General features: G+C 41.8%; 1 pseudogene and 1 further gene; both read right to left on the bottom strand.

The window, feature by feature from the left end:
• Positions 1-12,192, bottom strand: part of IGK (immunoglobulin kappa locus) — a 1,378,008-nt gene that overhangs the window by 352,360 nt on the left and 1,013,456 nt on the right.
• Positions 10,307-10,546, bottom strand: IGKV2D-38 (immunoglobulin kappa variable 2D-38 (pseudogene); annotated as a pseudogene). The gene is given in 1 exon segment: positions 10,307-10,546. A coding segment is annotated over 1 exon segment (240 nt).

The raw sequence follows: 12,192 nt of genomic DNA, 5'->3' as shown, positions 1-12,192 counted from the left end.
TTCAGGGACCTGAATGTTAAGGGAACTTGCTTTTGTAGAGGGAAAAGGGGAAAGAGAAAAGCAAACCTTCTAAAGGTTTGCTGAAAATGAATAGACAAAAGACAAATTAATAGAAAAAAAGGCAAACAAATGTATTTAACATGTGGGGTGGGGGTGTGGGGATAACACACGAGAGGGATTACCCAAATAACCCAGTGAGGTCCAGGTGCTTCTACATCCTTTATAGGGAAGAGGGAAGTAGAGAGTATAGACAACTAAGGGAGAGTAAATAACCTAAAATAAAAGAAAAGGGTCCTGAAAAGGATAGGTAGTAGCCTGTCTGGATAAAGTCAACATTCAATCTTTTCTGGATTTAACTTCTAGTGCATGTTAATATTCCCTGGTAGATAAACATTCCCAGGGAGGGTTTTCATGACAATTGGCTTCCTTCTGGAGAAACTGCCCTTAGACAGGTAAGGGAGATTTAGGAAAAGCCCCTTTATATATTTGTTGTTTTCTAAACACCTTCAGTTTGAAGCAATCACAATACCAATGTAGCATATCTTGAGATGTTACTTCCCAGATTCCTTCATTTGCAACTGACCTGCCAGGAAACACCATTCCAGAAGGTTGCAGCTCCAGGTGGAAAATACAGGTGCTTTTTTCTAAACGGTTGGAGCAGTCCCTGTCTGCACTGAGGACTTTCCCTTTCACCGTACTTCTGCTGATTCCCCATGGCCATCTCTGCCCTCTCTGAGAAAGGCAGCTCCGCCTACACGCATGGCAGACCACAGGGCTTGGAATGAGTCTTTCCTCAGACAGTGCTATGGTTTCACTGTATCCCCTCAATTTCATCCACTGTTAATTTAATCCATAATGCAACAGAATTGAGAGGTGGGGCCTAATGAGAAGTGTTTAAATACTGAAGGTTCTGCCCTTATGAATAGATTAATGCTACTATAAAAAGGGCTTTTATTATGGAACCAAACTGGATTCAGCTTGCTCAGTGCAGTAAAACCAGTTATCCAAACTGAGTTTGCAGTAGGAGAAAAAAGACATTTATTTGCAGGACGTCAAGCAAAGAGGACCAGACAGCTAATGCTTAAATCTTGATCTCTCTAATGGCTTACAAATAATGGCTTTTAAAAGCCCAGGTAAGTTTCAGGGAATCAAAAGTTACAGGCAAAATTGTAAATCAATACATGGAGGTTACACATTGGCTTTGGCCTAAGAGGGCAGGATATCATGAAGCAGCAGAATATCTTACAGGTCATGAGTAGATTGAAAAATTTTCTGATGTGCAATTGATTAAGGAAGAAAAGCTTTGTTTAAAAATTGGGGTCAGCACAAAGGAATGTTGGCTCTGGCCTGTGGGTGTGACTTTCTCCAGGCCCCTCAGGTGGAAATTCAGAACAAAGAACCATGGTCAAATTTCAGTCCCCTGTTTCCCCTTATGTGAAGTCTATGTGCTGGCGGATCCATTTGTTGGAGATCTGGGTTTCTGAAAAACAACTCAGAGACATATGCTGAGATGTTCTCTTTAGTTTCTGTAGAGGAATAAAACATAATGTGATTTTTAGCTTCTTTGACTATTGTTTTAGTCTATTATCATCTCCTTGCTTCTCATGTTGCTTGTTTACTTCTCAAGGCTTAGCTGGACACCTAACATTTCCCTTGAAAAGACCCAAGATTTTCCTTTATTTCCATGTCTGGGGAAGCTTCAAAGACCCCTAAGAAGGGGTCAGATCCCTGAACTATCTCAATTATGAGAGCGAGCTCCCAGTCTCTCACTTCTGCTATTGTCAGGCCAGGGCATGGCCTTCCTTCTCTCTGAAGGACTCAGCATTCAAATTCCATCTTGAAAGCACAGAAATTGGATCCCAAGCTGCTAGTTACTCAATCTTTGACTTCCCATCCTCCAGAAATGTGACAGAATGTTCTTTACTGATTACCCAGTCTCAGGTATTCTGTTATAGCAGCACAAAACAGACTTAGACAGACAGCCCTCAATTGGTGATGACAGAAGGATATGTATACATACCCCAGCTCCCTCCCCTCTCAGCTAGAATAGCCCAGGGACATTTTCCCCGTGTTTCCAAATGGGGTTGAGCTTCAGTTATCCTAAGAGTTAGGTGGCTTGTTGAGGTGACTTTAACCTTCAACCTCTGTTCTCTGCCTCACTTTCCTCCTTCCCTCCCATTGTAAATATGCTGCATGCATAGAAATCCTTCTTGTTGGTGGACACAACCCAACACAGTGGACAAATCCCAGTTCTTGGGAGGGCTACATCTCTTGTCTCTCCTTTTTTTTTGAGACTGAGTCTTGTTTTGTTGCCCAGGCTGGAGTGCAATGGCACAATCTTGGCTCATTGCAACCTTTGGCTCCCAGGTTCAAGTGGTTCTCCTGCCTCAGCCTCCCAAGTAGCTGGGATCACAGGTGCCTGCTATCACGCCCGGCTAATTTTTGTATTTTTAGTAGTGATGGGGTTTCACCATGTTGGCCAGGCTGGTCTCGAACCCCTGACCTTAGGTGAACTGCCTGTCTCAGCTTCCCAAAGTGCTAGGATCACAGGCGTGACCCACTGCACCTGGCCTCTTGTCTTAGTTCTTATTATTTCTCCTTTTTTGATGCATACAAAAATCAGAAAACACTAAATTTCTTTTTGCCCATCTATCTTAAATTTGATTTATGCAGTAATCCCTTTCTTCTGACTCACAAAATAAAAGAAGCTTCTTAAAATAGCAGCACACAGGCCGAGTGAGGTAGCTCACACCTGTAATACCAGCACTTTGTGAGGCCGAGGTGGGTGGATCACCTGAGGTCGGGAGTTTGAGACCAGCCAGGCAAACATGGTGAAACCCCGTCTCTACTAAAAAACAAAGATTAGCGGGGAATGGTGGCAGGCACCTGTAATCCTAGCTACTCGGGAGGCTGAGGCACGAGAATCGCTTGGACCCGGGAGGCGGAGGTTTCAGTGAGCCAAGATCGCACCACTGCACTCCAGCCTGGGAAACAGAGAGAGAGACTTTGTCTCAGTAAAAAAAAAAAAAAAATAGCAGCACACCATGAGGTCCACATTAGAGGCGGTGGAATAACTAACCCCTACTCTTAAAACCCACAGGTCAGAGAGTCTCCAAATCACAAATTATTTCCTGCTTCCTTGCCTCATAAAACAGCCTTGTGAATTTTCATTTGACTTTAGGGGTGGGCAGTTGTGGGAATAATGGGAGTTGTTTTGGGGATAAATAAGGACCCCCCACCCTAATTATATTTATGTCCTAATATTTGGAATCTATGAATGTTACCTTATATGTCAAGAGGAACTCGGCAGATGTGATTCAGTTAAGAAATTTGACATGAGGAGAGTATCCTAGATTGCCTGTCTCAAACCAATGTAATCACAAGGTCCTTATAATAGAAAATACAGGAGGGTCACAATTGGAGAGGAGCCCGGACAATGGAGGGGAATGCTGTTGTGGCAGAATGGGGCCAAGAAGCAAGGAATCTGAGAGATCTTGAAGATGAAAACTTAGTATCCAATTCTCTTCCTTGGAGCCTTCAGAAATAATACAGCCCTGCTCACTCTTTGATTTTAGTTCAGTGAGACTTCTGACTTTCAGAACTGTAAGATAATACATTTGTGTTGTATGAAGCCAGTGAGGTCATACTAATTTGTTCCAACAGCAATAGGATATTAATGCAAGAGGAAGAGATGGCTTTTATCTCCTCAGTGCATGGCTGTTCTTGTTCTCCCAAATATCTTCACCTTGTAATAATTTCCCGTCAATTTTGAAAAGACAGAGAACATATTATTTTGAGAGGAGGTAGCACCAGAATTCCTCTAAGGCAGAAAATGTCTTGGGTCAGATCCCTTGATTGGCTCTGGAACAATCTGGGTATCTGAGAGCCTAGAGATCAGCTGTCATAGCACGTGAGAGGAGGGGAGATTGTTCTTTGGTTTGTTTTTATATTAGGAGGGCAAATTAGACTTGCAGAACACATTCTGAGAGGGACAGACTGAGCCAGGGAAATTGGAAGAGAAAGAGGAGATGTAGAAGGGGCCAGAGAAAAGAAAGATGTGTCCTTCCTCACAAGTCCAAAATAAAGTCATTTGCAACTCACAAAGACATTGACAGAGTTGTGTTTTCTAGGGAAAACTGCAGATGGGGCTAGTTTACGATTAAGGTCAGCATGGTGTAAGACAGAGAGAGCAGGAAGCTGTGGAGTCCACACTGTCCCTACGGTGTCTTCTCCCTTATTATAGACTGTGGGCTCAACTATGGGATGAAAGTGGCTGCATGAAAGAAATATAATAAAGCCACACAGACTTGGGTTCAAATTCCAGCCCACATGTGCTGATCATGTGATTTTGCATAAACCATCCATGAGCTCTGATCATTGGTTTCTTCATCTGTGAAATGGAACACTGTGTATATCAAGGGGTCTCCTGAGGACTTAATCAGATGATGGGCCTTGAAGTATGTGTGTGTGTGTGTGTGTGTGTATGTGTGTGTGTGTGTAAATATATATATATATGTATGATCAATTGTCATCTTGTTTATCTTTCTAATATATATATATCCAGTCCTCTTTTTATGTACCCTTGACCATGCTGGAATAAAAAGGCTATGTAAGATATTACTAGCCAGACATCACTTTCAATTCAAATTCTTCAATATTTATTCTACAACAAGCAAGTGCATCACTAAGGGCAGTGGGGTTTCATGTGCATAGCTTCCACTGTAAACAATTCTACCTACTCTTTATGTGTGGTATTAGAAAGACAAACAAGATGACAATTGATCATAACACTTTTAGTCTGAGTTGTCTCTGAGCTGCATTTGTGTTAGTGTCTCATTCTTTGGCTCCTAAGGTTGTGACCACAGTTCTGAGTTCTAATTCTTTTCTTCCCACATGCACAGCCTTTCTCAGAATTCACTCTGGCCTCCCCATGCTGGGAATCCAGACTCACCCTCCTGCTACACTCCCCAGAATCCAGCACTAACTGCCTGGAAGCTTTTCTTTGTAAGCCCTCCAAACGCAACCTCTGATAGATACCTGGTTGGAGGAGTTAGCATCTTCCCATCAAAAACCACTGAGAAGAAGGAGAAAACTGCTAGCATGATGTCGCTGTTGAGGAGATGTGTACAGTCCACAGATTTTATGTCTTCTTCAAGTGTTCTTGTCTCTTTCTTGACCACTATTTTAATTTCATGATCATAAAGGAGGGAGGAATTAGGGACAACAAAAAGATGTTCATCCTTAAGATATAAAACATGAAACTGAGACAGGAAGAGAGCAGAAATTATGAACTCTTTGCAGTGGTTTGGGTTTCCTTAGCTATAAATACAGCAGAGCCAAGATGTCAGGAAAGGACATCACTTATTCTGGTTCTTGCTTTTACTGCCTTTGACACCCACAAACACACACATACACACGCATGATAATGCATTTCTTCTCCTAAAGGGCAGGTCTATGGCCAACGAGGCTCTTTTTCTTCAGTATCATTCAAGGATAAGCGACAATAATTTTAGAAACAAGTGAAAGAATAACAATGGCTTAAGCAATGAGAAGAGATCTGAAGTTTGGCACATTCAGGGTTAATACAGCAGCTTGGTGACAGGAGAAAGGCCCCAGATTCTTTCTACATTACTGCTTGGTAAACTTGACCACATTGGTTTTTCTGTCTTGGGCTCAACATCTCATGGTCTCAAGAAGGCTGCAGGGACTGTAAGCTTCATGTCCTCTGGTAACTGCCCAAAGAGGAAATGAAGGGCAAAGCTCTTCATCACCCCTCTTTTTATGACGGATCACCATTTTCTCCAGAAGTCCTGCCCCTCCTTCACACCCATGACATCTCATTGTGGAGCTGATCACATGTCCACCTAAACCTTGCTCCTTTCCTGGGCTGGGAGCGGCTCAGTGTCCTTGTCATGCACAGCAGGACAGAGACAGCGCCCTATACACTAAAAGAGGAGAGGGTGGCTGCTCTGTAGGTGACAAAATTTTAAATTCCACTGTGCTTTTAAGGAAAGTTGTATGAGGAGGAGAAAAGCTAGGTGCATCTTCATACTGCAACATTCGAAGAAGCCGGGCCCTGAGGATGAAAACGAAGTCAAATTTTAAATTTCTCACATGACCTTGTTAGTTTCAGCAATTGTGGAAATGTAGCCTATGCATTTATGTAAGTCAAGGACATACTTTCAGTTACCAGAATACTTGTAGAGACATTTATAATAAGATCCTTAAATCAGGGCTAAGGTCAGACTTGCACTGTCTGAAAGCTGCTGGGCTCTGGCCCTGGGCTGTGGAGGAAGCAGCTGCTCTACTGAGACAAGGGGCTGAGGACCTGGGAACCAAAGGCTCTGCCCACAGGTCTGCCTCACAGGGGCTTCAGGGAAGGAAACTGCTCACACACTCATGGGCACTGCTTCAAGCCCAGAGCCTGCCACCAGGAGGAAAGTCTCAGAGACAAGGGCCTTGGGGCTGGGCCCAAGCTCCTGGGGTGGGCTGCTCTCAGCTCTGTTCTCACTGGCTCTCAATGACCAGGACTGTGCTGGAGCCAAAGAGGTCAGCAAATGTCCGCAGAGTCCTGACTGAGCCTGATTCTGTTATAGTTAGAAAAAAAAAGGAGCACGTGCTAAATAAACATAAAATTATGTGTATATGTATATATGCATTTGTAACAAACTTTGTATATTAAATATGTATAATATTATAGATGTAAATTGCAGTGATATCTTTGTATCTACTATGCATCTATATTACGAATAAATATTGTGAAAGGAAAATATCTTGGGCTCCCCAAATCACTAAGCTAAAGGGAAAATTCTAGCTGGGAACTGAATAGGGCAAATCTGCCTCCCATTGTTTTCAAAGTCAGCCCTCTGGTCCCTGAGATAAATGCATATCTAATTACCTGTTCTGGAAAGGCTAATCAGAAACTTAAAGGAAGGCAAGTTTTTCTCTCACCTACCTGGGACTTGAAAGCCCCTCCCTGCTTCCAGTTGCCCTGCTTTTCGCTTGGAGTTGTCCTGCCTTTCCAGACCAAACCAATGTTCATTTTATATATGTTGATTGATGTCTCATGTCTCACTGAAATGTTTAAAACCAAGCTACGCTCTGACCACCTTGGCCACATGCCTGCAGGACCTCTTGAGGCTGTGTCACAGGAACGTGTCCTAAACTTTGGCAAAATAAACTTTCTAAATTACCTTATACCTGTCTCAAATGTTCTGGGTTCACAATGTGATATGTACATTTGTATAAATAGGCATAGTTGTTCCTGCAGTTTGATGTAATTCTAATCAGAAAGCAAAAAGGCTAGTTACCTGATGGTGAAGGAAACATTTGTATTTAGTGCAACCAAACTGAGGATGAAGCCTGAGTCCTCCCTCCTCACCAGAGTCTGACAGCAGCAGAAGAGGAGGAAAGCTGTGTCTCCATGTCCACGAGGGCCTCCTGAGGCTGATCCTGCTCAGAGAGGGTTGGGACGGTGGGTGAATCTGCTGGCACTGCCACGCCAAAATCCCAAAGCCTGGATGGCTTAAGCAATAGAAATTTATATTCACATTTCTGGTGGCTGGAAGTCTAAGATCAAGGTCCAACCAGGTACACATTCTGTTAAGAACTTTCTTCCTGGTTCATAGACAGCCATGGAGAAAAAGGGATGGGGGTTGGGAAGAGAGAGGGAGAGACAGGGAGGAAAGGAAGAGGAGAGCTCTGGTTGCTATTCGGATAAGAGCACTAATTCTATTGCAAGGGATCTCATGCTTAGGACCTCCTTTAACCCCATCTACCTCGATCATCTCTCGCAGCTACACTGGGGGTCAGGGCCCAGCTTCCAGTCTCAGCGCACAGAGCACAGAGCAGATTTTCCCCACCATTTAGCCCTGGCAGCTCCTCCCAGGTGCTCCAGGTCACACATGAGACCCTGTTCCAGCCAAAGGGCTCCCTGTTGACAGTGAGACACCATCATCCTTACATTCCCAGTATTTCTTAGTTCATGGCATTCTCTTTTTGTACTGTGGAATTTGTTTGCCATCTAGGGGCAGGTGTTTGACATAGCAATACACACGATTTTTTATTTTGTAATAGGGAAAACTAATTCATTAATTTTGCATAAATAATAAATTAAACTGAATAAATTACATGTTGAAAAAGCCAAAGGCCAATTGAAGAGCTTAAAAAGAGCCTGAAGAGACGAAAAAGCCAGATTCCTTTCAGAGGAGGTGTGTTAGTCACAGATGAAAGTCTTTCATTTGCAGATGACTTTTTAGCAACAATTACCAACAGTAAATGACAACTTCTATAGGCTGCCACAATATGATTATATGTTCAAAAATTATTTCCAAATATTGTGTAAATATATATTCAAATTAAAACGAACAAAAATGCAAGTTTATCAGGAGATTCACACAGTAAAAAATTGCACAAATGAATCCTTGAGGCAAAAGAACATTTATCCCTGGTGGAAAGCTGGAATTTTCTTAGGTCTTTAGAAGAAAAGAGAGGCTCTCTAGGGGTAACAGCTTTCTCTCCTCTCCGCTCCACCCCATGCTGCTGAGGAATGGGAATGGGGGCAGAGGCTGTGAGGAAGGAGGTAGGCTGTGCTCTGAGCTTTTGAGGCTTCTTTGTAATAAATTTGATTATCCTCTGGTTCTTCTTGAATCCCCTTTCTGTCTTTGATATCATTTTTTTAGCATTTTGATTTGAGAGTATAGCCCTTGGGATATCAAAATCATGTAGGCTGTATGTTTGTTTCCTTGTTAAATACATCTAAACATCTTGAGTGAGTTTAGACCTTATCCCTGTCTCACATCAAAGCAGAATCTACAGCGACTAGGTGCTGTCAATCACGTGAGTACTAAAGACGATGATGGCATTTCTCAGCTCCTGCTCTTGCTACTTACGCTTTGTTTCTCTGAAATAGCATTCTGTAAAATCATTTACACTCCACGATGTATTTATTAGGATTTTTAAATAGCATATTTAAAAGTGTCTAATGTTTTTTAATTTGAGGGCTCCAGTCTGCTTGATTTCTACATAAATTTTGCCCTATATCTATGAAACCTAATAGAAATGGCACTTTGGAATTTTAGTTGCAGTGGCCATTGAATCCATTATCACAGAATGGAAAATAATCTCCAATATACTTCAAATCCTAAGGCTGAAGCAGAAGCTTCTTGTTCTGTTCCTTCAATCATTCTTTTGTCTCTATCACACCATGTTCTGTCATGTAACTGACATGACTCATCATTAAGTTTGATGGAAATTTAAAATACCATTTTAAGTGAAATCAACTGAAACCTTACTTTTTTTTGCTTTTATACCTAAAATAGAGGATTTAGATATATTTTCTAGGAACGATGATGTAATATGTAAACAAGGAATTTTGGTAATGTTTGAAATATTTTCTCATGGGGACACACCACTAAATTTGTCACCTCTAAAACAGTACTTAGGTTAAATGCTTTTTAAATTCTTAAAACTGGGGTAAGAAGAAAAAATATTATGTAATTCTGCATTATTCATGTGACATATTTAGTGAGTCTATGTTGTCCATCTGTGAGTTCATTCTGTTTATTTTCAAAGCTCACTTTTGTAACTGGAAGAACTTTCACTGGGATGAAGGTAATTGAGGAGAATTGAAGTATTTTGGCATTGAGATCTTTTATTTGCCATGTGTTTACCAAGTCTATGAATAGTCAAACCTAAACATTTTTACTAATTATTTTTTGCCACACTCCCCTGAGGACAGCTTGTGTAGAATACCTTCTCCAGCATGACACTGGAGAGGGCAGTTTAGTGTACGAGTGCTAAAAAAGATACAAGGTTGGGAGAATGAAATGAAAAAAATGATTTCTCAATAGGACCAAGTATCATCTTGTATAAAATAAACCCCAAGCTGGTCATTTCCAACACGTATTCCACTTGTGTTGTCACTAATCTGCATCCACGGTCTGGTTGTTTTGACAAGTAAATGTCCTTGAAAAATGTAGGCAAGATAGGGAGGGATGAGCTTTCATTCACTCTCCCTTCATCATAGCTGGTTGTTCCCAAGGCTCATGGCCCCCAAGAATTCTCCTCCTGATGATGTCTTCCCCAGGCCATGGCAGCTGATGGGACCTTAACATATGTGACTGAGGCACAGCTGAGGCTCTCATGAGCCAGAGTCTTCAGCAGCAAACCCTTTCCCTGAGTTCCCCAACAGCCTCCTCTTCCGCAGACTCAGAGACCCTGCAGAGCTGCTCCCAGACAGCAGCTCATGTGGGCAGTTGGGACACCCCAGCAAGGAGGTTTGTGTTCAAGGCGTTACCACTGTGCAAGGATATTATGTAGCTTGCATGTATTAATAAAGTCGAATATCCTCAGCCTCCACCCTGCTAATTTTGAGTTTAAAATATGTGCCTGACCCACTGCTATTGAACCTGTCTGGGACTCCAGAGGCCCCATTGGAAACCCCATAGATCAGGAGCTGTGGAGACTCGCCTGGCTTCTATAGTTACCAATACAAATAGGTGTTTCCATTGCTATGCAGGAGGGTCTGACTAGACCTGCAGGAGATGAAGTACAAAGTTATGTACAAATATTATGAGCAAGTATCACGATTTCCCTTATGATATGGATTTATCATTTATCTTTTAAAAGATTTTTTATTCACATCATAAAAAATACGTTTTTAAAAATGAGCTTAGGCCGGTTGTGGTGGCTCACGCCTGTAATCCCAGCACTTCTTGGTCCGCGGCAGGCGGATCACCCGAGGTCGGGAGTTCAGACTGACCAACATGGAAAAACCCCATCTCTACTAAAAATACATAAAATCACCTGGGGGTTGGGGGCTTATGCCTGTAATCCCAGCTACTTGGGAGGCTGAGGCAGGAGAATCACTTGAATCTGGGAGGCGGAGGTTTTGGTGAGCCGAGATCGCACCATTGCGCTCCATCCTGGGCAACAAGAGCGAAACTGGGCAACAAAATAAATAAATAAATAAATAAATAAATAAATAAATAAATAAGCTTAGTATTTACTAGGTACAAGAGACCCTTTATTAAAAGATATTATTCAAGGCACTGGTCATTGTTCTTTCAGGTGGTTTCTAATGATTACACATAGGCTCAAAGTAAAGGGAGAAAGAAAGATCTATCAAACAAATGGAAGGCAAAAAAGAGCAGGGGTTGCTATTCTTATTTCAGATACAACAGACTTAAAACTAACAATGATCATGGCTGGGCGCGGTGGCTCACACCTGTAATCCCAGGACTTTGGGAGGCCAAAGCGGGTAGATCACGAGGTCAGGAAATCGAGACCATTCTGGCTAACACGATGAAACCTTGTCTCTATTAAAAATACAAAAAAAATAGCCGAGCGTGGTGGCGGGCGCCTGTAGTCCCAGCTACTTGGGAGGCTGAGGCAGGAGAATAGCGTGAACCCGGGGGGCGGAGCTTGCAGTGAGCCGAGATCGCGCCACTGCACTGCAACCTGGGAGACAGAGAGAGACTCTGTCTCAAAAAACAAAACAAAACAAAACAAAACTAACGATAATCAGAAAGGACTGAGAAGAGCATTACATAATAATGAAGAGTTAAATTTAACAAGAAGACTTCACTATCCTAAATATATTATATAAGCACACAGCAGTGGAGCACCCTGATTTGTGAAATAAGTTCTTAGAGACTTACAAAAACACCTAGATAACCACACAATCATAGAGTGAGACTTCAACCCACACTGACAGTATTCGACAGATGATTTAGGCAGAATAGTAACAAACATATTCAGAACCTAAACATGACACTTTACAAAATGGAACAAACTGACATCTACAGAACAACCACTAAAAATTACAGAATATACATTCTTCCCATCTACACGTTGCAAAAACTCTAAAATTGACTACACTCTCAGCCATACTGCAAGTGTCAACAAATACAAAAAATAAAAATGATAAAATGAAATGGAATCATACCAACCACACTCTCAGGCTGAAGTGCAAAAAAAGTAAAAATCAACACCAAAAAGATCTTTCAAAAACCATAAAATTAAGTAGAAATTTAACAATCTGCTGCTTACAGACTTTTGGGTAAACAATGAAATTAAGGTAAGAATTAAGAAATTCTTTGAAACTAATGAAAAAAAAAGAGACAACATACCACAATCTCTGGGACACAGCAAAAGCAGTGTTCTGAGGAAAGTTTATAGCGCTAAATGTGC

The sequence above is a fragment of the Homo sapiens genome, chromosome 2 (genome assembly GCF_000001405.40).
Source record: "Homo sapiens chromosome 2, GRCh38.p14 Primary Assembly".
Classification (NCBI taxonomy): domain Eukaryota; kingdom Metazoa; phylum Chordata; class Mammalia; order Primates; family Hominidae; genus Homo; species Homo sapiens.
The sequence above is the reverse complement of the archived record's forward strand: the minus strand, read 5'-3'. Positions and strand labels throughout refer to the sequence as shown.